This window comes from Homo sapiens, chromosome 9, assembly GCF_000001405.40.
Source record: "Homo sapiens chromosome 9, GRCh38.p14 Primary Assembly".
Taxonomy (NCBI): domain Eukaryota; kingdom Metazoa; phylum Chordata; class Mammalia; order Primates; family Hominidae; genus Homo; species Homo sapiens.
This window is the reverse complement of record NC_000009.12, coordinates 93187994-93212348: the sequence shown is the minus strand read 5'-3', so window position 1 is coordinate 93212348 and position 24355 is coordinate 93187994. Positions and strand designations below refer to the sequence as shown.

The 24355-nt window shown below is 54.7% G+C and overlaps 1 protein-coding gene across 51 annotated transcripts in view, besides 5 other annotated features; it reads right to left on the bottom strand.

Moving 5' to 3' along the window:
* The window catches only part of WNK2 (WNK lysine deficient protein kinase 2), a 136431-nt gene that overhangs the window by 108221 nt on the left and 3855 nt on the right, over positions 1 to 24355 (bottom strand). For 7 of the 51 annotated variants that reach the window (XM_047423773.1, XM_047423778.1, XM_047423774.1 and 4 more), the window contains exon 1: positions 10248 to 10427. The exons of the other annotated variants lie outside the window; for them this stretch is intronic. In XM_047423773.1, coding sequence (XP_047279729.1) covers positions 10248 to 10283 — 36 coding nt within the window. In that variant the 5' untranslated portion in view covers positions 10284 to 10427. Of the gene's footprint in view, positions 1 to 10247; positions 10428 to 24355 lie in introns of those variants that run through there. 51 annotated transcript variants of the gene reach the window in all.
* Positions 9618 to 10551: an enhancer, noted in NCBI's record as "H3K4me1 hESC enhancer chr9:95964080-95965013 (GRCh37/hg19 assembly coordinates)". NCBI's record gives its function as "activates a minimal SCP1, AML or CMV promoter by ChIP-STARR-seq in naive H9 embryonic stem cells {active_cell/tissue: H9 hESC(naive)}" and the evidence as "EXISTENCE:reporter gene assay evidence [ECO:0000049][PMID:30033119]".
* Positions 19117 to 19335: a silencer, noted in NCBI's record as "fragment chr9:95955296-95955514 (GRCh37/hg19 assembly coordinates)". NCBI's record gives its function as "represses an EF-1alpha promoter that drives an FKBP-Casp9 reporter gene in an ReSE screen in HepG2 liver carcinoma cells {active_cell/tissue: HepG2}" and the evidence as "EXISTENCE:reporter gene assay evidence [ECO:0000049][PMID:32094911]".
* Positions 22172 to 23105: an enhancer, noted in NCBI's record as "H3K4me1 hESC enhancer chr9:95951526-95952459 (GRCh37/hg19 assembly coordinates)". NCBI's record gives its function as "activates a minimal SCP1, AML or CMV promoter by ChIP-STARR-seq in primed H9 embryonic stem cells {active_cell/tissue: H9 hESC(primed)}" and the evidence as "EXISTENCE:reporter gene assay evidence [ECO:0000049][PMID:30033119]".
* Positions 22778 to 22947: an enhancer, noted in NCBI's record as "experimental_109868 CRE fragment used in MPRA reporter constructs". NCBI's record gives its function as "activates a minimal promoter by MPRAs in K562 erythroleukemia cells, with activity observed for the non-introgressed 9:95951769 or rs7041800 variant allele {active_cell/tissue: K562}" and the evidence as "EXISTENCE:reporter gene assay evidence [ECO:0000049][PMID:34662402]".
* Position 22862: a transcriptional cis regulatory region, noted in NCBI's record as "Neanderthal adaptively introgressed variant 9:95951769 (GRCh37/hg19 assembly coordinates) or rs7041800 in the experimental_109868 CRE". NCBI's record gives its function as "modulates activity of the experimental_109868 enhancer by MPRAs in K562 erythroleukemia cells {active_cell/tissue: K562}" and the evidence as "EXISTENCE:reporter gene assay evidence [ECO:0000049][PMID:34662402]".

Sequence of the window (24355 nt, the reverse complement as noted above, 5' to 3'; positions counted from 1 at the left end):
TCAGGCAGTCAAGCCACACCAAGCCCGGCAACAGAATCCACTCTATGCATGACTAACCTATCCTTATCCCAACATCTGGCTGCTGGCTTTGCTGAAACCTAGAGTAGCCTGGGAAGAAAGGGAATGAAATCTCTCCATTTTGTAATTTCCTGCAGGGTCTGGGGGCACCTCCCACAATTGAAGAGTTAAAATTAGGTGAATGAATTAATAAGCCAGTGAATAAACAACTAATGAATGAGGAATGATGAGTGAGGGAACCGATGATGAATGAGTAGATGAATAACTGAATGGTGAGCAAAAGAGTGAATGAGTAAATGAGTGAGTGAATGTGTGAGTGTGTGAATGAGTGCGTGAATGGGGCAGATGAGTGGATGAGTGAGTGAGTGAATGTATGAGTGAGTGGATGAGTGAGTGAATGAGTAGATGAGTGAGTGAGTGGATGGGAGTGAATGAGTAAATGTGTGAGTGTGTGAATGAGTGAATGTATGAGTGAGGGAATGTGTGAGTGAGCGAGGAGTAGATGAGTGAGTGAATAAGTGGACCAAAAAGTGACTGAGTGGATGAGAGTGAATGAGTAAGTGGACGAGTGAGTGAGTGAATGTATGAGTGACTGGATGAGTAAGTGAATGAGTAGATGAATGGTGAATGAGTAGATGAGTGAGTGAGTGAATAGGAGTGAATGAGTGAGTGAATGAGTGGGTGGGTGAGTGGATGAGTGGGTGGGTGAGTGAATGAGTGGGTGAGTGAGTGGATGAGTGAGTAAATGAGTGAGTGAATGTGTGAGTGGATGAGTGAGTGAGTGAATGGATGAGTGAGTGAGTGAATGTATGAGTGAGTGGATGAGTGAATGAATGAGTGGATGAGTGAGTGAGTGGATGGGAGTGAATGAGTGGGTGGGTGAGTGGATGAGTGGGTGGGTGAGTGAATGAGTGGTGGGTAAGTGGATGAGTGAGTATATGAGTGAGTGAATGTGTGAGTGAGTGATGAGTGAGTAGATGAGTGAATGAGTAGACCAAAGAGTGACTGAGTGGATGAGTGAGTGAATGAGTGACTGAGTGTATGAGTGAGTGGATGAGTGAGTGAATGAGTGAATGAGTGAGTGAGTGAATGAGTGAGTGAGTGAGTGGATGAGTGATTGAATGAGTAAATGTGTGAGTGTGTGAATGAGTGGATGTATGAGTGAGGGAATCTGTGAGTGAATAAGTGAGTGGATGAGTAAGTGAGGGGATGAGTGAGTGAGTGGATGAGTGAGTGAATGAGTAAATGTGTGAGTGTGTGAATGAGTGAATGTATGAGTGAGGGAATGTGTGAGTGAATGTATAGTGAGTGAATGAGTGAATGTGAGTGAGTGAATGAATGAGTCAGTGAAGAAGGGAGGGAGTGAATGAGTGAATGATATGAGCGCATGAGGGTAGACATCCTCTGGGACGTGTTCTCCTGGAAGCCACTGAAGTCCCTGGGGCTCCCATAGCGGCCCTGGACACACCCTTGAGACCCAAAGGAGGGCCGGTCTATGTCTGTGCTGGCCTCACACAGCCTGGGACATAAAAGAGACAATGAGCATCTGGAGAACAAATGACCATGATGGTGCCCTGGACCCTGAAGCGGGAGAAACCAGCCCTCAGGCAGCAGGCCTGCCCATCTTTCCCTCTACTCAGAGGCCTAGAAGGGCAAAGAGCCCTCACCTGCTCAGGGATGCAGAGTGGAGCCTGCGGGCTCACAAGGAAAGGGCCTGGTATGATCTCAGCAGGCTCAGGAGGTGGACAGATCTGAGTGAGAGCAAAGGTCACGAGGCTGATGTGCGGCAGGCTTGAGTGCCCCAGCACCCACGCGCACAGGAAGGCGAGTTCCCCAGCACCTGGGTTCAATGGGCCCAGAGGCAGCTGCAGACAGTGTGGTCCCACTCGCTCCCCTGACAGCCGCCCTGACCCAACTCCACAGCCTGGCAGCCAGTGGTCTGCCCCAGGCTCACACTGTGGCCAGCGCTCCTAGTCATCCAGCAAGGGCCCAACAGTGAGCAACGCCCCAGTCCCCCATCCCTGCCCACCCTGCCCATCCCTCACCCCTCCATCAGCACGAATAGCCCCACCTCCCTCGACACCCCACTGTCCTCCCCAAATCTCAGGAGCACCACAGCCCACATCCCTGGGGTGGGAACGCTTACTGCAGAGAGGCAGGGAAGTCACTCACGTGGGGACAGTGCATGAGGCCGTCGGCAGATCAGCCACACCAGCCATGGGCCCTGCTCACCCAAGTGGGCAGGGTCAGGCTGTGGGACTGCTGCCCAACCCCACCATCCTCACAGTGGGGCCCCAAAGAGGGGAACCCCCAACTCCCCACCACAGCATGGAAATGCATCTTCCATCTCTCCCAGGCCACAGAGAGGTCATGATCTTGGTGCCCACAGGCGTGGGGCTCCTCCCTGGCCATGCTCTGGGGGTGTCCCACCAATCCCCCAGTCAGAGTGGGGGCACAGGCACCATGATAGACCAGCCCCACTCGCTTCCTGGAGGATGACATGGAGAATCTCCCCTGGGATCCTGGGGGAAGGGCGGGCTTCGACCATCAGCAATGGTGACTTTCAGCACGCACTCCACCCTGCCTTGAGGCACCCAGAGAGGCCACACAGCCAGTGCCACCAGCAGGCCTGGCTCAGAGGTCCTAGTCCCCTTCCACCACATTGCAGCCTTGTTCCTTCCACCCAAGCACAGCCCTGGGAGCTGCCCCTTCTACTTTAAGCTGTTTCTCCTCAACCGCACCCCAAAACCCTACAGAACCCCCTCTGAAGTGGTAAGAACAAACCAAGACCAGAAGAATCCCAGATGTTCCAAATTAAGGTTCCTGAGGCCTCAGCCAGGGTCTTGGACGTGAGGGAGAGGGGACTGAGGTCCACCTCAGGCTGCAAGACCTGTCCCGTCTCAAAGGCACACAAGGGCTGAGGTGTTCCATGTGTCACCCCAATGGAGAGCAAGCAGCCCCAGCCCACAGCTGTCCTGCCACACACGTGGTGGGTGGAGATGGGGAGCAGGCACAGAGACCAGAATGTCCCGGCCTTGCGCCAGTGTGCCTTGAGGTGCCACAGGCCTGTCCTGTGGCGTACAGCCCCAGGAGATCGCCATGGACTCTGTACCCTAGGGAGGCCGCCAGGTGCTCGCACCTACCTGGGGTGGAGCTGGCCCCACCACCACATTCCCCTGCTCAAAGGTCTATGTCCTTCTGCTCAACTGTTTTTTTTCCAGGAAATCATTTGGAAGAAAAAAAGCTATTCCCAAGGGTCTTCAAGGCCACAGTTTCATAGGAGAGCTGCAACCTCTTGGTCCGATCATAAAGGAAAATCTCAACAATGAGGCTGCTCTGCCAGGGCACCAAGCACCCCCGGAGCTGTGGTCACCAAGGCACCATCAGAGGGAGGGGCTCTGCTGCACGAATGTGAATGCACAAAGAACACACACAACTTGTAGAACATGCATACTCACAGAACCTGTACACACGGAAGACACATGCATTCACAGAACACACACGAAGAACATGCACATACACAGAACACACATGCAGAGCACACACAGCCGCAGAACACACACACGGAGGACATGCGCACACACATGAACACACACAGAACACGCACGAAGAGCATACACAGAACACGCAGACACACAGAACACATGCACACATGAAGAACACACAGAATACATGCACACACAGAACATGTGCACATGGAGAACACGTACATGTGCAGAACACACAGGACACGAATACATGAAGAACACACCAAATACACACGTGTGCAAAACACGTGCACACAGCACATGCACACACACAGAATACACATAACATGTACACGTGGAGAACACACATGCACACAGAGAACACATGCACATGGAGAACATGCAAACATGGTGACACATGCACACAGAAAACGTGCACACAGAGAAACCAGCCAAATGGCAGGACACACAAAAATGAGGCCTCCCTTTCAGCCTTGGCGACAAGGGTGTGGGTGGTTCTCCTTTCTCTACAAAAACGTGTTACCTCTATTGTTTTCAAAATATTTCTCAGAAGAATATAAAGTGAGAGGGCGGCAGATAACATGAACACAAAAACTCCACTTTCAGTGGAAACGTCCAGTTCCAGCACGGTGGTGTAACAAGGGACACCCATCTCCAAAGCCAGTAATTTGGACCTGGGGACGTCCCCTGCTCCAGGCTCCGCCACAGTGAAACCAACCAAAACTGAGATGTTTGTGTGTTCTGTCTGGGAATCGTCACTGCAGCATTATTTATAATAGCAAGAAAAGCCAGGCACCGGAGGCAGGGCCTGGGGAGGAGATGAAGGTCCTCAGGGCAGTCACAAAGCCCCTGGACAAGGAGGAAGGGAGCAGGCATCAAGGTGCCACGTGGAAGGGGTGGGACACGAAGCTGTCCCCCTAAAGTCCACAGGCACGAGAACGGAACTGTGAACGAGAACGGTGGCTGTGTTCTCTCCGAACCCACAGGAATTCTTTTTTTTCCTTTCCTGTATTTCCCAAATTCTTTGCAATCTACTGAACTTCGCAAAACTAAAAACAGCGCCTGGAGAGGGCGTGGGTGCCGGCAGCAAGCGAGCCTCCCTGTTGCAGGCACTGCAATCCTGGCCCGTGACTTAGGCCAGCAGCAGAGCACTGACAGTGAGGCTATTTTCATTTCCACAGTGAGGTTACCATGGAGTTTAATTTCCTCAAGTGCTCCCTCTGGCATCTGTTCTATAAATGGCTCTGGGGTTTGCACCAAATACACTCACTGGAGACAGAATTACCAATTCTGTAAAGCTCGCAAACCAACCAGCCTGTTGGGCTCCTCCTGAAGGGTCCAAAAAAGGAGGGGCTGGCCTGATCACCCTGGGCGTGCACTGGACACCTACTGCATGCTGACCGGGAGATCATGAATGACAGATGCTCACCCTCCTCAGGAGCTGGTGGGGAGCTGAAGGTCTGCTGCCTGTAGGGGAATGGTGGACAAGGCCCCCCCACCAGAGATCTGGGGCAGGTCAAACCCACGGCTCTGCAACTTAGGAGTGCTATCCGAGCCTGAGTATTTTAGAACAAGGTAAAGGATATATGGGAGATCCTGATAACTAACTGGGGTTGGGACTTAAGGTTTGTCAGGCATCCTCTACTTTCTGGTCTGCTTGCAAGTTCCCATGATAACGGGTTAACAATAATGCCTGAGGGTTCTGGCCTCAGCCTCCTGCACAGCTGGCCTGGCCTCTCATCTGGATGCCCCAGGATATTACCCTCTGGGGGCAGCCTCTCTGCTCTCCAAGGAAGCCTGGCAGGAGTGGGCATCACAAACAGCCCCAAGGCACCCCTCCAAGCTGGGAGCTGTCCTCCTCACTCAGCAGATAAAGAGACAGGGCCAGGGAGTCCTCTACATTCCCAGGGGGTGGCAGAGCCAGAACAAAACACACTGCCTCCCCTCTCCATGTCCAGCCCTCAGTAACCCCAGCTGCTGCACATCCAGCCGCTGCCACAGTGTATCCCCAGAAAAACCTACAAACACGAGGCAAGAGCTGCCTCGGGGAAGCAGGTGTCACTCTAGGCCTGGATTCTGGCTGCCCTCCCCAAGAGGGCACAGCCTCCTCCTGTCCATCCCCCAAACTCGGGGCCCTGATGGCAGCAGAAGCATTGGGGCCCATGGTCAACACTCATTCTGCAAGGGAGGGCCAAGCACACGTCTGCCCGGTGCTGGCTCCTGGGACAGGCCCTCCCACCTCCCCCAGTCACGCAGCCACCACCCTCCATGGTGTTGTCCCATCCAAGGACACTAAATATGGCTGCCTAGAAATCCACCCCCACCCCCAGTCAGAACTCCCCGGTGCATCCAGGGCTAAGGTGGGGCAAGCCACGTGCTTCTCAGGGTCTCCTGGGTCCCCAGGCAGGGACTGGAGCCAGGGCAAGTGCATGCCAAATGCTGTGCCCTCAGCCACCAAGGCCAGGGCGGTGAAGGGGTGGGGGTTTCCCCCAGCACCCTAGGTCCACGTGCCCAGGTCACTGCAGGCGACCCTTGGCAACTCCCTGTACCCACCTCAGCCTGTCCACCAGCACCAGAGGGCTCAAAAGGGGCAGCCCCAAGCCCCAAAGAAATGGGGCCCTACATGTTAGGAAAAAGACACGCACTCCAGACAGATCACACTGTCCACATGGGCCTTGGCAGGGAGGACAGGAGACATCAGTGATGCCCTGTACCCCGCATGCCCCTCAGGCACCACCCTCTGCAGCATCAGTTTCCTCATCTATAAAATGGGCCGTGGGCAGGAGGATCCCATAAAATTGTGCCCCGAGGCTCCGCACGGGGTCTAGGCTACAGCCAGCACTCAACAACAATTGCCTCCAGGGGTGTCCCCACCAAACTGGTGGCTTTACCTGAGGCTCAAACCCACCCCTGATTTTCCTCTTGCCATCCAAAGCCCCCAGTACGTCTGGAGCCTGAGACCCACTGGCCCAGAGGCTGCCAGAAGGCACTGGCGTCACACAGAGCCAGTGTCCCCAGCAGCAAGACATTCGGAGGACCCTGCACTCAAGGGGCCACGAAGAAAGGCCTTTAACACCACGTCCCCCAGAGAGAAGCTTCTCAAAGGCTGCCCCCAGCTTCGTCTGTGTCACTCAAAGAGTAAAAGTCAACACCAAAGATAAAATAAAATCCCTCAGCAGTGCCAAAAATACCTCCCCACGGGATGAGGCTGAGCGGGCGCCAGCTTCCACAGCAGCAACTGTTGCTATGGAGACCAGGCTCCAGACAGCCGGCCGCGGGGCGGGCCGAAGGACAGAGTGGGGGCCAGGCACAGGGTGCAGGGACGGACAGGGGCTGACCAGCAGGATGGGGGAGATGACAGAGGCTGGCCAGCAGGGTGGGCCCCCAGGAACAAGGGGGCCCAGGATAGGGCTAAGCCTGAGTGCCAGCCTCCACCCACTGGGGCCAATGGCCTCTCCAGACCTGGGGGGTCCAGGGGCTCCCACCTGCACATAGGCTGCCCACTCCCCATGAAGGCTGGTGCTGGCCTTCCCACACAGTGGCCGTCTGCTCACTGACACATCTGTGCTGACAGATGCCCTGAACTCAGGAAGTGGGTAAGGTGCTACCAAAGTGCACAGTCCCAGCCCAGTGCTCCTCAAGCCTCCCCAGTCACCGGTAACATTGGTCTACAAATGAAGGGGTGAGGAGGAGGTAGTATGCTCAACTGGAAAATCTGTACCAGAATGGATGGAGGAAAGCAGGACCTCCCACAGACGTTAACACAGCTCTGATCTGAGCCCAATATGTTCAACATATTATAGAGTGCCTAACTCCAATATCCACTGGCCTCCCCTGACCTGAAGCTGTCCCCTGCAAGCTCAGTTCACTTCTTGGCCTGTGGCTTCCAGCATGATGAGCTCTTCAGCCCTGCTGGCCTCTGGCCTCCTCTGTCCTCACCCAGGGCCAGGCAGGACAGGGTCAGTCCAAGGCCACCAAACACACAGCCCCAAGGCTCTGCCCAGCTTGGGGTCCCCATACCCCCACCAGACACCCATGTTCCTCCCTGGTGTCCTCGGGCATCCCTCACTTTCTGAGCCTCCCTGAGCCCCAAACAGTGCTGACAATCTGCTATGACATTCACATCAGGGCCAGGCAGGACAGTGAATGTCAGCCCGTGTCACAGAGCCTGCAAACACCCACTCTGTCCCATCCTGTCACACACCTAGCCCGTGATGGCTCAGAGTCAGCACCCTTCCCCACCCCTGCCCCTCAGTGGGAGCCAGCAGCTTGTTCCTGCAGCATCCCCCATGCCAGGCACCTTGGGTACCCGACAACAGTTTGCTGGGGGAAAGTGGGGCTTCCCAGCACATTTAGAACCCTGAGTCCTCCTGGGGCCCACAGCCCCGAGGGCTGGCCCCGCCTTTCTGGCCCCCATTCCAAACCTGGGCAGTTCTACCTGCAGGTGCTTGGGCCTCCCTGACTCTTGGAAGCCGTAACCTAATATACTTTCTCCATTCCATGCGGCTGACAGAGGCCATCAGTTCTTCTGCCCGCCCTCGTCTGCCTCCCCAGCAGAAATGTTGAGCACCCAGGCTGTCCTTGCCTCTGCTTCTCCCACTCCCAGCACCTCACAGACAGCTGTGAAGCCCATATCTCTGAACGGTTTTCATATACTCTCCCCCAGGAGCCTTCAGTGGCTCCCTAGTACCCACTGACCAAGCAGGCAGTTAAAACACCTCCTCAGTGTGGCCTTATGTCAGCCCTCTCCTCTCCAGCACTTACCAGAATACAGCCCCCACACCCCCACCACACACACACACACCAGCCAGCCTTCCCTGACACCCGTTCCCAAGGATGCCATCCCGCAGCCCCATCAATGTCTCCAGGCCCTGCTCAGGGAGCTTTGTCTAGGAAGCCCTCGGGACATCCCTCCCACAGGGCTCCTGGCTGGCCCCAACTGCACCATGTCCACAGGGCTGCGTGGGTAACCAGTGGGGACAGTGACCAGGCTGCAGCAGCCTCCCCCGGCTTCAATCACCACACACAGGGCTTCCAACACCACCTGTATTCTCTCACAGTTCGAGATGCCTCGTTCCCTGTCCCACGGTCCCTTCCTCCCTCTTCCACACCCACATCCCCTTCTCTGTCTCAGAAGCTCCTGCCTCCCACTTAGGACAGCCTGAAGATGACATCTGGCCAACTCTGACAGCCCAGGACAATCTCCCAGTCTCAAGATACTTAACTTAATCCCATCTGCAAAGTCACCTCTGCCGAGTGCAGTGGCACGTCCACAGACTGCAGGGGACTAGGCCTTCAACGACCAGCCCCTGTGCCCCCGGCCTGGACCCCGCAGCCACTCCCACAGGCTCCCTCCCAACCTGCTCTGTGGCCAGGGTCTCCCGGCTCCCCAGAGCTGCCTGTTCTCATTCGCTTTTTCTTTCTTTCAGTGAAAATCTGAAACCTCCTCACTCAGCAGGCGCCTCCCCAGCCTGGGTGGCTGCTCCTCTGCATCCTCTGCTACCACCCGCCACCAATGCCCCCAACTCAGACCACTGTCCACTCCAGCCATGGTCCTGACTGCCATACCTTTCCCTGGGCCAAACCCCTGGCCCACCAGGCCCCAGGGGGCCTCATTGCAGCTCAAGGTCCTCAGCTGAGTTCAGCAAAGGGTACTTGGGGTTCCCCTACTGGGGTCATACTTGCAGCCCCCAGGAAGGACCTTCCCAGCGCCCCCCGAAAAGCTCTGGGCCCCACCCCTCCAGCAGAAGCATCACTGCCCCACCCCACAAGGCCTGTGGGGCTCTGAGCATCCCATGCCCCCCATCCTCCACTGCCACCCACTTGGACACAGACCTCAGAGGGCCCCTCTCCTCCAATGGTTGCCACGTGGAAACCAGCCTGGGTGCCTCGCAAATGGCCTTAGATGTGGTCCTTGCAGGAAAAAGGGTGAGGTCTACCCTAGCAAGAACCCCCACCCCCACAAAGGCAGCCTAGCCCTTCCAAGCCGGCCTTCCAGCCAGAAGTGTCCAGCAAGCACAACCTATGTGTGCCTCAGTGTCCCTGCCCCAGGGAAAAGCTCCTCAGGGGCTTCAGGGAGGCTTCAGTGAGGGAGGAGCATTTAGCCCCGGCTGCAGTGGTGTCCAGTATCACGCTGGAGACTAAGGCCTTTCCAACCCTCCTGATTCGGCCCCCACCATGCCACCTGCCCCAGCCCCACCCCATGTAATTTTCCCTCCCCCAAAGAGAAAACACAGCGGAACCCTTTTGTGGAAAGGCCATCAGCCGTGCAAATACCCACCCCTCCCTGAGAGCTGTGGCTCCCAGCAGTTCCCGCCCCTCCCAAGCAGAAAGTGTCCTCTCCCCTGGTAGGGCCGGGCTGACCGCCCACGGGACAGGTGGCCCCTCGGTGAGGTCAACTCAAAGGGCTCCTCATTCCCACGGAAGCGCCGGAGGGGCAGGCCATTCCCTGGCAAACGAGCCAAAGACGAGACATACACACACACACACACACACACACACACACACACACACACACGTGCACACGGAGCCCAGCAGAGGCCCTGAGAAGCATACCAGGTCCCCACACGCAGCAGGGCTGGGAGCTTGGGGTCAGCCATGGAGTGGGGCATGGGTAGGAGTGGCCTGCACTGTGCTGAGCGGCCACCCCACTAGGGCCCAGTGGTGTCTGGACACAGAGCCATCTTGTATGGTCAGGGTCCCACACCAAACCTCAGTCACCCCTCACTTCCCCAAGCCTACCTGGAGGCCAGGAACTACGTATGTCCCAGGTAGCATCAGAGTGTGAGACCCCCCTGTGACCTCCAGCGCAGCCAGCAACCCTCACCGGCCCAGCCTGGTTTCCAGGTGGAAAGTTGGCAGCTGCCTCTGCTTAGCCTTGCCAGGCCCCAAGGAGCTCCACTCTGGCCTGCAGTGAGTGGGAGCGCGGGCACAAAGGGCCTGCCTGAAACCCATCCATAAACAGTTCAGGAAGCGGCCGGCAGGGCTGGAACGTTCCAATGTCACCATCTCGCTCCCCTCGGGGAACAGAGCATGCCTTTGTCTTTTTATCATTGCCTTCATCAAATATTTACAGAGGCTGACAGGCCATTTCAGACAGGCCAGATATGAGCCAAAAGGGCTCTTTCTCAGGACACGGGGGAGACACGGGTCCTGGGCACTTGGGAAGCACATGGTCCAGCATGTAGCCCTGGGCAGGGAAGGGAAGGGAGGGCCTCCTGCAGGGCAGGACCTGTCCATAGCCCTCAGACACATCCAACCTGGGGCTTAGGTACTAGTTTTCTGCACACAGTGCCCAGGGCTAGCAATAGGCCAGGCCAGGCTGACACCCCAGCCCTGCTCCCACAAGCTCTACAGCAGGAAGAATGAGCCTCATGGCCAGGCATGTGTTCTCCACGTTCCACCTCCCGGGCTGCCAAGAGCATGCAGCGTGAGCACCCCAACCAGGAAGGCACGCAGGGGCCTCAAGCTGTGAAGGCTGGGGTCAGCAGCCCACCTGGACCCATCCCCACTCCCCCTGCTCCTCCAGCCCAGTGTGAATGCTGGGCAGCCTTGCTCGGAACAGTCTCAGCCCAGACAGCCCCAGTGTCCACAGATGGCGACAGATAAGCAGACAGTGAAACGCACTCGGCCACACAGAGGGGCTGTTAAGAGCCAGGGCCACACAGACTCATCCCAAGCAGGACCCTAAAGCAGGCAGAGAACAGCCACAGGATGGAAAGGATGGGTGGTACCAGGACCCTCTGCTGGGAGGGGACGCCTAGGTCCTCACTGGGGAGGGGCTGCACACATACTAACTGTCCCTAAAAATCCATCCCAGTAAAAGAAAGGCCCCTTGCTGTTAGCATTTTATTTTCCTTTACCTTTAAAAAATATCATCGGTCCCTTTCTATCTTAAGATCTATTTCCATATATTTTTTCATCTTCTTCTGTTTCATTTGTTTCTAGCGGTTTTAAAGGTTTTTGCCCTTTTCCCCAAGCTAACCCTATTTCATCCTTCTCATAAATGCGCCTAGCCAAGTTTATTCACTTTCATGCCTCCCTTTTAAACCCTCTTTTTACAAATGGCGCAGGTGGCCGTCTGTACAGAACCCACCTGCAACCACCACACCCTGAGCCCATGTGGCCGTCTCACCTCTAAGTCACCCAATCCAGAGGCCCAACAGGTACCAAGAGCAGCAGGGCCATGCTCCGGCATCCTCTGGGCTCAGTTTTCCCCAAGCTCAGCCGCAAACGAGGGTGCCAAGTTCACTGCGTCCAACCACACCAAGCCAAGGGCACCAGAGCGACTGACAGGCTGAGGAACTGGGCAATGGCAGCCCAGGGTAGGCGTCGAATTGCCGAGAGGCTGAAGGGGACAACAGGCCATCACTGTCCAGCCAGCAACTGGGCTCCCCAACACTGTGGTTCTCCCACCACCGCTGGCTCTTGAGGGAACATGCAGAACGTGCCCTCCTCTGGGCAGACACAGACAGCCTCGGGTCTCCCTCCTGTAAAGATCACCCAGCCATATCCAGCTGACCCAGGACCTGCTGCAGTGACAGACAAAGTCTGGATAGCCCATCAGACAAACCTGCCCTGGACCTCTGGCTCAAGGGGCCAGAGCAAGGCCAGGCCTCGAGGAGGCCCCCCGATAAGCCATCCATGTCCCCAGGGGTGTCAGGGCCAATAATTCCACTCAATGGACCTTCCCCACCCCTCAGCACCTTAACTCCTGCAACCCCCCATGGTGTGCACTCCCAGGTGGGGACTAGGGCAGGGGAGGCTGAGACTAAGCCAGGCAGCATCCCCACGCAACGCCTGCTCAGCATGGCCTGCCACTTGCCCTCCTTGAGGGGATGGAGCACCAGGCTGGGGCTGCCCTGGACACACACAGGACCTGCCCAACCGCTGCCCCCCCATCCTAGCTCTTCTCCACAGCTTTGTGTTTTCTTTTTTTTTTTTGAGACAAAGAGTCTTGCTCTGTCGCCCAGGCTGGAGTGCAGTGGCACTATCTGGCTCACTGCAAGCTCTGCCTCCCAGGTTCACGCCATTCTCCTGCCTCAGCTGCCCAAGTAGCTGGGACTACAGGTGCTTGCCACCAGGCCCAGCTAATTTTTTTGTATTTTTAGTAGAGACGGGGTTTCACCGAGTTAGCCAGGATGGTCTCGATCTCCTGACCTCGTGATCCACCCGCCTCGGCCTCCCAAAGTGTTGGGATTACAGGCCTGAGCCACCGCACCCGGCCCACAGCTTTGTGTTTTCAATGCTTCTTCCAAAACACAAATTCACTACGCTGCTCGAACCTCTTAATTAAAGACAAGAAATTCCAAGAGACCTGTCCGGGCAGATGTCAACAGCCTTGCAGCTGGCTGACCCAGGAAGATGGTTGCCTAACTTGAAGACACAGGACAGGGCCAGATAGGAGGCCTAGGGCATCTCCCACCACCTGACGCCAAGCCCAGCCGCCAGCAGGTGGAGGAAGGTAGCCTAGAGTCACCAACCTGGGCAGGGCTAAGGTAGGAGGTCACCAGGTCCAGAGCCCAGGACTATCCTTGACATTGGGGGAAGCCTGAAAACAAGAAAATCAGGGGCAAGCATCTCGGCTCAGTCCTGGTGCCACCAGAATGGGAGAGAGGTGGCCCACTGAGACCCCAGGCATCGGTCATCTTCCTTCTGGGAGGCCTGTGTGACCCCAGCACAGCCAGGCTGAGAAGCCGCACCCCACAGAGGGCAAGGGGACTTGCTCACACGTCTCAGGCCCACACAAGGACCTCCAGTCACAGGGGACAGCATGGAGGCATGCAGGGTGTGTGGGAACCTGGGTCCAGCTGGAGGGGGCCAGGCTGGGACTGAGCAGGCCTCCACCCACCCCGAACCGAGCCAGCGAGAGGATGACAAGTGGGTCTGACCCAGGCCTGACTCACACCCGAGGAGGCCCCGAGCTCGAGACTGCACCAAAGCTGCCCAGCTCAACTGCAGGTCTTGGGCAGCAAGGCCAGGGGTAGAAGGACAATGGGGCAAGAGGGCAGGGCTGGAAAAGGGGGCAGCAGGGCCAGAGCTGGGCAGGGAGTGGGGGCCCAGAGGCAGTCTGGGCTATTCACTGTCACTGCACATATCAGCGCAGACGCTATGATCATGACTTAGCAAAAATGCCCAAGAGTATAAAAAACAAGCTAAGAAGGGCATATACCAAAGTGAAAACTGCCACATCAGAGGATGGAGGCTGTGGACAGCTCCTCCTCTGTCAGGCTTCCATGTCCATCATGTCATCTTCCCCAGGAAGCATCCCCTCCACAGTGGCCATCCCCATGAAACCCAATGCCCGGGCACACTCCCCCAACTCAACAAGGCTGGTCCAGGGCTGGCAGGTAGGAGGAACAACATAGCCCTGCCCCTACGCCCTACCGGGGTAAGCAGGGCTCCCTGTGAGGCCTGAGGAGGGGCCCCACCCAAAGCAGCTGGATGGGCAACAGGTGGGTCCCCATCAGCCTCCTCCTGCCAGCAAGCCCCGCCTGCCTGGGGAAACTGCAGCCGCTCAGCTCCCTCAAGGCTGACAGCAAGTCCTGTTAGCATCAACCACTCAACCTAACTCAGAGGCGGGGCAGTTCCAGCTCAGGTGCCTCAGGCACCCAAAGGGAGGAGGGAGCTGGGCGATCCTGAGGCCCAGAACCACCGGAGCCTGCAGTCCACCCTCCTCAAGCTGCACCACAACCCCTTAGGCTATGCAGGTCCCCACTCAGCCCCTGGCTGCCTGGGTGTACAGGACAACATCTTGTATTTTCCTGTACCTCAGTTTCCTCCTTAGTAAACTGGGAAACTTTACTGAGGGGGGAATCACAGCACCTCCCTCTCAGGAAGCCAATATGCCTCTAGAGTATACAGTGGTGCCCCACTGACGTGAGCATGGTCATTTCTTAATAACAGCACTCTGACTTCCTCTAGGGCCCCCACAGGGACCAGCCTAGCCGGATCTGACCTACACATGCAGCACCCGAGCCAGGAATGCACGACCTCACACGGTCGTACAGAAACACCACACAGGGCCGGGCAGTGGCTCATGCCTATAATCCTAGCACTTTGGGAGGCCGAGGCAGGCAGATCACCTGAGGTCAGGAGTTCAAGACCAACTTGGGCAAGATGGTGAAACCCCGTCTCTACTACAAATACAAAACTTAGCTGGGCATGGTGGTGTACACCTATAAATCCCAGCTACTCGGGAGGCTGAGGCAGGAGAATCGCTTGAACCCAAGAGGGTTCCAGTGAGCCAAGATCACACCACTGCACTCCAGTCTAGGAGACAGAGCAAGACTCCCTCAAGAAAAAAAAGAAACACCACACAGATCCAGATGGAGTCTCCATGCAAGACCACTGGCCCTAAACCTTCAGAAGACAATGCTGACAGATTTAAGAACAGTAATAATAAAAGGCAGAGGGACTGTTCTGGATTGAAATTGACATGACAACCAGACACAACACGTGATCCTTGACTGGCTCCTGGATCCCTTCCCTAGGAAGTGCAGTCCACCCATCTGAGACCTCACTGAGTGCCTCAGGTCCTATCCTGGAGTGCCTGGAGCACGGCAGGGGGTGGAGGTGATGTGGGAGCATCCTCGTTCCTATCAAGAGACACAGGCTGAAGTACTCAGGGGTGAACTGCAAATGGGTCAGGAAATCACAGACACAGATATACAGGAGAGTGGTAAACACTAACAACTGGTAACTCCAACTTCTCTGTTGGTTTTTCCAAAGTTTTCCAAAATAAAATGTTGGGGCTAAATGAAAACTGGATTGTTGGCAGAGAGGAAAAAGCTTTGCCAGGGTTGGCACAGAGGGTAGGGAGCTGGGGTGGCCACACAGGAGGGAAGGAAAATCATCAGGGCCCACAGATGCCTGGGTGTGGGAGCTGTGGACAGGGAGGAGCCTGCAGATGCAGCGGGCATGTGTGCTGTGCTGTTCTCTGCAGGCCCAGGCAGAGGAGGGCTCTAGCACACACAGACACTGACAGTCTTGGAGGGACAAGGTAACCAAGACAGACACAGCAGGCACGCTCCACCCACAGCCCGCCACCCCTCCTGACCAACAGAAACCCAGAAACTCACTATGCCCAGCCCCAGAGAACAGATCATAACCTGCTACACCAATCAAGCTTTTCCCAGATACAAGCACAGTTACAGTTGGCCACACAAACACATGCTAACCAAGGAGACCAGAGAATCCCTGGTAAATATTTCTCTTTATGGATTAAAATATGAACAAAGCCACTTGAAAAATGGACCTTCTGGCTGCTTGGCCCCCACCTAACCACCCATTTGTTTCCCACCATCAAATGTGGTTGTGATGCCTGGAGCTGTGGCAGCCCTACTGTAGCCATGAGGCCAAGCAAGACTAGGGACAAAATGCCAACATGGATGAGGACAGAAGAAACAGAGAGAAAACCCCATGTCCCAGCTGATGTTGCTGAGCCACCTCCAGGGCTGTCACATGGCCATCTCCAGATTCCAGATTCTGAGTAGGATCAAAGGTCAGCATTGCTTCCCACAGTCGGCTCACAGCTGAGAATTGTCCCATCTCCCCCACCGGAGAGCAAGCACGCACAGTGCCCAGAAAGCAGGGGTGAGGGGCGGATTGGGGAGAGTGAATACCAGAGGGAGCCCGTGACCCTCCACTAACAGTCAGCCTGTTAACGCCCCTCCCCAGAGCCAGTCCTGGCTTATAAGATAACTGTAAAATGAAAGAAAAAAAGGAGGTGGCCCAACACCTTCCCCCTCGCACCCTTCAAGAGCTTCACAACACAGTGGGCATCGTAAAGGCTCTGAGAAGTTCCTCAACAGCAATGCCTGTCTGACCCACCACTCCCCAAACACATCTAATGATAGCACCTCTTCTGCAGCCACCCTCAGCAAAGGGTTCAAAATAGCACCAAGACCAGGAACAAACCTCAGAACCATGGCCTCTTGCAAAACAATAGCTTTAAAGACACTCCAGAGACAGATTCTAGAAGTCGTGACACCCTGAACTGCAGCTGTATTTTTAAATGCTATACATGTGCAAACAAGACCTAGAAGGTCCTATTCAAAAATAAAAGCAGTTGTGTTCACCTGGTTGGATTATGGTTGATATTTTTTTTCAGCAACATCTTTTTTTTTTTTTTTTTTTTTTTTTGAGACAAAGTCTTTACTCTGTTGCCCAGGCTGGAGTGCAGTGGCACGATCTTGGCTCACTGCAACCTCCACCTCCTGGGTTCAAGCGATTCTAATGCCTCAGCCTCCCAAGTAGCTGGGATTATAGGCGCCCGCCACCACGCCCAGCTAATTTTTGTATTTTTAGTAGAGACAGGTTTTCACCATGTTGGCCAGGCTGGTCTCAAACTCCTGACCTCAAGTGATCCACCTGCCTCGGCCTCCCAAAGTGCTGGGATTATAGGTGTGAGCCACCGCGCCTGGCCCATTTCTGCAAACATCTTTAATGTAGCTGTTGCATTTTTAAAATTAATCAACTATTTTTAGAGACATTCTAGATTTATGGGAAAATTGAGCAAAAAGTAGAGTTCCCATACACTCCCTCACACCCACACACAGGTTCCCCTATTATTAACATCTTGCATTAGTGTGGTACACTTGTTATAACTGATGAACCAATATTGATGATTAACTAAAATCCAACATTTACACTTGGGTTCACTCTGGGTGCTGTACATGCTATGGGTTTTGACAAATGTATAATGACATGTATTCACCAGTAAAGTATCATACAAAATAGTTTCACTGCCCCACAAATCTGCCTCTTCATCCCTCCTTTCCTCTAATCCCTGGCAACCACTGAACTTTTTTTTTTTTTTTAACTGTCTTCATGGTTTCTCGTCTTTTCCAGAATGTCATCTAGTTGGAATCATACAATATGCAGCCTTCTCAGATTGGCTTATTTCACTTAAATATTCATTTCTGGCTCCTCTCTGTGTTTTCATGTCTTCATAGCTCATTTCTTTTAGCACTAAATAAGATTGCATTGTCTGCATGTGCCACAGTTTGTTTATCCATTCACCTGCTGAAGGACATCTGGGTTGCTTCCAAGTTCTGGCAATTATGAATAAAGCTGCTATAAACATCCGTGTGCAGGTTTTTGTGTGGACCTAAGTTTTTAACTCCTTTGGGTAAATACCAAGGAACGCAGTTGCTGGATTGCATAGTAAGAGTGTGTTTAGTTTTATAAGAAACTACCAAAAGACCTTCCAAAATAGCTGTACCATTTTGCAATCCTACCAGTAATGAATAAGAGTTCCTGTCACTCCACATCCTCACCAGTATTTGGTGTTAGTGTTCTAGATTTTGACCATTCTAGTAGGTGTGCAGTGGGAGCTCATTGTTTTAATTTGCAATTCCCTGATGACTTACGATGGGCAACATCTTTTCATATGCTTATTTGCCATCTGTGTGTCTTCCTTGGTGAGGTATCTGTTAAGCTCTTTGGCCTATTTTTTTAGCTGATTGTTTTCTTATTGTTGAGTTTTAAGAATTCTCTGTAAATTTTGGATAACAGTCCTTAAGCAGATGGGTCATTTGCAAATATTTTCTCCCCAGCTGTGGCCTGTCTTCTCATTGTCTTGACAGTGTCTTTCACAGAACAGAAGCATTTAATTTTAATCAAGTCCAGCTTATCATTATTTTCTTTCAAGCACTGTGCCTTTGGTGTTATATCTAAAGTCACTGCCAAAGCTAGGTTTATAATTTTGGATTTTACATTTAGGCATATGGCCAATTTTATTTTTTGTGAGGGGTGTAAGGTCTGCGTCTGGAATCATTTATCTGCATGTGGATGTGCAGTTGTTCCAGCGCCATTTGTTGAAAAGATGATCTTGTCTCTATTTTATTGCCTTTGCTCCTTTGTCAGAGATCAGTTGACTTTATTCATGAGGGTCTATTTCCGGGCTTGCTATTCTATTCCATTGATCAACTCATCTGTTCTTTTACCAATACTGCACTGCCTTGACCACTTTTCTTTCATTCTTTTTAAAAAATGTTAATATAATTTAATGAGAGCCAATTTAAATAAGAAGTCGTAATCAAGTATTCTGGGAAATGCTTAGAATTCAATGCTCCAGGGAAGAGAATTGGATGTGAAAACTCTCAGAAGCAGGAAAACTTACAGACAGTGTTCAGGTTGCCAACCTCCAGCGTCCCCACTCAGTCCTCTCCACCCAGCTGGGATTCCCCAAAACACAGCCCTGAATTGTCTATGGTCAGAGGCAGATCCTAGCTTGCTTTTCAAAAATCCCAGCTGCTGCCGTTCACACCCTTTTCCTTATCTGCAGCTCAAGCACTAAGGCAACAGCGGCACAGGTGCCCACAGCTCCCGGGCGGGGAGACAGGCAGCCTCGGGAACCAGCCTCCACCTGCTGGCTCGGCTTGCTCTCCACATCTCTACTGGAGACAACTGTTTATTTTGCAGGGGGAGCAAGACGGGTGAAAAGAGGTTGACCTGAGGCCCCTGTGTGCTCAGGTGAAACACATTTCTCTCAATAGAGCCCCCAGCCATGAAGGGCAGCTAACACCATCCACACTGCACAAAAGGGTAAACCGAGGCTCGCAGAAACAGGTGCCCTCCCATGGCCACGCACTGGGAACATGGCAGGGCCCTCCTACCCCTGGGGTATTTTGTATGCACCAGGGCAGTGCGGCTGGGACCTTTGGGGCGACGTCCTTCCTGGCTTTGAGGCTCCCAAACCCCCCTTCCCACCACAGCAAGCAGATGCTGATGCCCCATCACGGCTGCACAGCCAGGACGGACCACAAGGGAGACCCAGACACACGGCCCAAACCCCTGCTGGGCCAGGTCAAGTTCTTCTCCATCAACGAGGTGACCTAAAGCTCCATGCCATCACCTTGGGTGTCTTCCAGCTGCAGCCTGAAGCCAGACCCAAGCCACAGGCCCTGAGAGACACCTACAAGATGACTATGGGCATAGAAGGGCTGCAGCTCCCAGCTGTCCTGGAAGGTGAGGGGCAAGTCCAGCCAGCCCAGGACCACTGGCCAGCTCCACCCAAACCGTGGACTCATGGTGGCCAGCAGGGCCCAGGGGTGGGAAGAAGGGTAACTCCCAAGGGAAGGGACAGTTGTCTTTAAGGTGCAGCACAGTTCCCAATTTTGTCTTAGCACCTAAAACTCGGAATCTGCTGCCCATTGTATGAATCATGTTTTGAAACAGTTCTGGCATCCTGGAGCACCCTCCTGTCCTGGGCAGCCCCTCTGGGCAGGGTAATGAGCTCCTCCCTCTTGGCCCCCCGAGACACAGTCCTGGCCCATCCCTGCACTCCTGGGGTGCCTACCCAGGCTCCCAACTCAGGATCAGCCTGGGAGATCCCACTCCACCCGAGGACCACCCTTGGCCACCTACAAAGCACTCAGATTAAGCATGTCCCAAGCCAAGGCCTGCCCTTCCCCTAAATCCACATTTCCCCCTCCCCCTCAGAGGACAGCAGCCACATCCTGCCAGGCCCAAAGCTGCTGCCACACCATGATTCCTACCTTCTCTCTCTCTCTTTTTTTTTTTTCTTGAGACGGAGTCTCGCTCTGTCGCCGGGCTGGAGTGCAGTGGTGCGATCTCGGCTCACTCAACCTCCGCCTCCTGGGTTCAAGCGATTCTCTTGCCTCAGCCTCCCGAGTAGCTGGGACTACAGGTGCCTGCCACCACGCCCAGCTAATTTTTGTATTTTTAGTACAGACGGGGTTTCACCATGTTGGCCAGGATGGCCTCAATCTCTTGACCTCGTGTTCCGCCCACCTCGGCCTCCCAAAGTGCTGGGATTACAGGCATGAGCCACCACGCCTGGCCTTTTTTTTTTGAGACGGAGTCTTGCTCTGTCGCCAGGTTGGAGTGCAGTGGCACGATCTCAGCTCACTGCAACCTGTCTCCTGGGTTCAAGCGATTCTTCTGCCTCAGCCCTACAAGTAGCTGGGATTACAGGTGCCCGCCACCATACTTGGCTAATTTTTTTGTATTTTTAGTAGAGACGAGGTTTCACCATGTTGGCCAGGCTGGTTTCAAACTCTTGACCTCAAATGATCCACCCGTCTCAACCTAAGTGCTGGGATTACAGGCGTGAGTCACCATGCCTGGACGATTCCTACCTTCTCTACCTTCAGATCTGATGTAAATCCTGTGCTCTCCACCTTCAAATGCACCCAGAATCTGATGCTTCTCCCCTCCCCGCCTCTATCCCACCCAGTACCAGCCCTGTAATCTCTCACCTAGACAGTGGCAGTCACCTCCCTGCTGGTCCCCTGCCTCTACCCTCATCCCCAACTGTCCCCAAGGTGGCCAGAGAGATCCTGTCAAAACCTCACTCCACTCCCGCCCCTCCTCCAGCCTCGCTCAGAACTCCCCAACCTGCCCAATACATTTCCAGGTCTCACAGGCTCTGTCTCCCAGGGCGGTGACCTGTCCTGCTCACTATGGTACCCCAGGTCTAGAACCAGGACACACGTTCAACAAATGCTCACTGAGTCAACATACACACAAGCCTGCACTGTTGAGACCCAAGCACAGGCCTCTGGAACCTTCAGGAACATCCGCTCCCTCCCCTTCTCTTGATGCTATCTTTTGGCTAGCTGTCCATCAATAAAGCTTTACGCAACCTCAGAGTAAGCCCCCAGCTGTCCCCGGAAATGACAGGACAGGGTGGGGGGATGCAACTCTCAGGGCCCACGAGATCTTCCCGCTGACCTGGAGCTTGTCTTGGACTTGGTGGCCACTTGCTTCCCAGAGCCTGACACAGTCGTGGCACTGCCACCAAGTCTAGGTTCTCATAGTCCAATCCAATCCAGTCCTCCGTGGGGGTCTCCAGCGCAGGCCCCATCTTGCACCTCCTTGGCCTCTTCCAGCCCTGATGTGTCCCGGCCCCTTTGTCTCCCTTGCTGTAAGATGGTCTATAGACTGTCCCCATCTGGGTCTGTCTGGTGTCCCAGTGGCCACCTCTAGGTCACCTGGGTCTGTTATATCCTCTGGAAAAGCAGCCGCCTAGAGGAGGGCCCAAGATCAAGCCTGGAGACGCGGGTGACCCGTGAAGCAGCCAGGGCACGTGTGGACATTTGCGTCCACGTTTAATGTGAGGAAAAATAAGAACACTGACCCTCAGCTGCCCCAGCCACATCCCAGGCACTCCGCAGGGCCTGTGGACACAAATGCAGAGGCAGGATGTTTCTGCCACCACGGAAGGTTCCAGTGCTGCGGGAGGGCATGTCCAGCTGCCCTGGCAGACCTCCTAACATGCTGACGAGGAATGAGAAAACACAAGCTTTGGCAATGGCAAATCAAATCATTTGCAATGGCAAATGGCATGTGGGGGCTGGCCCTCCACACATCTGAGCCAGTGCTGGGGTCCTCCCTCTGGGGCTCAGAAAGCAGCACAGGTACGCTCGAGTCCCATGGTGGCCTGGTCCTGATTCAGCTCAGCCAGGCGCCCACACGGCACCACTGAGCCACAGGAGCACCTGCTTCTAGTAGAAAACAAGCTGTGGTGCCTCAGCCTCAATGTGTCCCCCATGACGGTGACCTGCACAGGCTGCTGTCTGTCATCGCTGCTGACACACACCTCGCCACCACCACTCGGGGGGCAGAAGCACCACTGAGAGCTTGGCGCCCACATTTCTGCCCCGGTGGGAGGGAGGGAAAGTCCGTCTGCACAGGCCTTTCAGGGAGCTAGCGCCAGCCTTTTTTGCCAGCTAAACCAAAACCATGGTCAGCATGGTGCAGAAAACATCTCGCCCAGGAAAGCAAATTCAGTGCTGGCATCCAACTGATTTCAAATTACAACTCTCCCAATAAAATTAAGCACTTCAGAGAATTTTTAAAAGGGGTGACCACCAGCCAAATCGGGTCAAGCCTTCTGATTGTCTTGCCCCAGTAAGTGAGTGCCATGCACCTCCTCTGTGCCCGGCACTGGCTCGTCCCCTCGTCTCCTCTTCTCCCCATTTCAGCTGGGTCAGGGCTAAAAGCAGGTGAGGCTGGCAGCCGGGCCTCTAACGAGAGGCCATCGGGGCAAAGCACGCAGGCTCTCCAGTCCCCCAAACCCTGGCCTAAGGCTGCGTGGCCCATGACATGCAGAACGCCTGCCTAGAAAGGTGATAAGGATCCCACCTGCACGGGATGACGGGCCAGCTCAGCACTGGCACTGGCGGGGCTGCCAGCGGCTGGGAGAGAGGCTGTCGGGTGGCTGGGCTGTCCTTGGAGGATGGTGGGGGGACCACCCACTTGGCACAGGCCATACTCAGCGAGTCTCCTCTGGCATCATCCACTCCCAGACCCAGGAAGATGGACAGGACACTGAGACACCCGGCTGGGGCAGGACACATCGTTCCTTGAGCCCTGCCCCCTCTGGGTGGCACCAAGCAGCAGCAAGACCTACTTTGTAACTTTCTGGAACTAGAAGCAGCGCCCCCACCCTTAGTCCTCTTTAGGACTCCACCGCTCTCCCAGGGCCCAGCAAGTGCTCTGAGCTGAGGATCAAGGAATGTACGTCTCTATGAAGTAGAAAGACCCCATGCTGGGTGCAGGCCCCAGCACCATCTTGGGAAACTCAGGTTCCAGCCCTGCCACAGCAGCTCAGAGGCAGTGGCACTGAGATCCTAAGATCCTGTGTCCCCTAAAGTAGGGAGTTGCTGACAGGGAGGCGTCAGTGTTGTTAAAGGGGGTGAAAACCAAGCTTACTCCAGGTCCCCAAGGGAGACACAGCAGAAACAGGAAGGTCCGGGAAAGGCAAACAGGCTGCCTCCCTGGGTCTGAGTTGGCTATGTTTTCTCAACCTGGGGACCTGTCGCCAGCTCAAAGGTGGCAGCAAGTGAGAGTGGGAGCCCTGAGCCACATGGAACAGTGTTGGTCCAGCAACGTGGGTAGCCAAGAAGGGCAAGGAAGTCACAAAAGCTCAACACCAAAAGGAGAAGGGAACAAGATTGTGCTGACCCAACAGAAGGTGGCAGAGCAAGGGGTGGCCACAGCACCACGCCAGGCACCTCCCCGTTGCTGTATTGTGGCCTCACCACCCCCTAGAGGAGGGTCTTGTAGAAGGTCAGGCCAGTGACCCAGATCAGCACCCCCAGGGTAGCTGGGCCGGCTATGGCAGGTGGCAGACGCTCCCAGAGCCGACACGGAGCCCCAGGCTACCCCGCACCCTGTCTGACAGTACAGGGGTCTGTGGGGGAACCAGGGCTGGCCAAAGATGACCACAGGAACACAGGACATGTGGGCAAGGAGGAAGGCGGTGGGATTCTGGTGTTTTACTTCCTTGTTACCATAATGTGTTCTGCTGCCAAGAATAAAAGTTTATTCAAGAGAAGAATGACAGGGAGGTATTTTAAAATGGCTTCCCCCACAAAAAACAGTGCAGGTTCCAGCTTTGCACATCTGGAGAATTCAGAAGGTGAAACACCTCACTGCCCTTCGATGTGAGATAAATAAATATTACCCTCTCTACAGAGTTCTTTCAACACTAATTTATCAAAGGAAATCAGATGTCCTCTAAGCCAGGCTTACTAGGTCCACATGAAGGCGTTTCTCCCGTCTGGCAGGGAACCCTGAAAAACACAAGTGAGCCCCACTGGCGCCTCTCAGTTCTCCAGGGAGGCCCCCCAGCCTGTGGAGGGCAGAAAGGGGAACACAGCCCAGGCACCTGGACAGACTGCAGGTGCTGCGGGAGTAGGGGAAGAAAGGGATAGAGGCCAAGAGCAATTCCAAGAAGGGCTCCTGGCTGAAGGCAACATCCCCCTAGACCCTCCCTCTACAGTGTAAAGCGTGACTCCCAGGAACCCTCCCCATGCCCAGAATGCTAGCGGTCATGTGCAGGATGGCATCTCCACACTGTGGACTAAGAGAGCCCC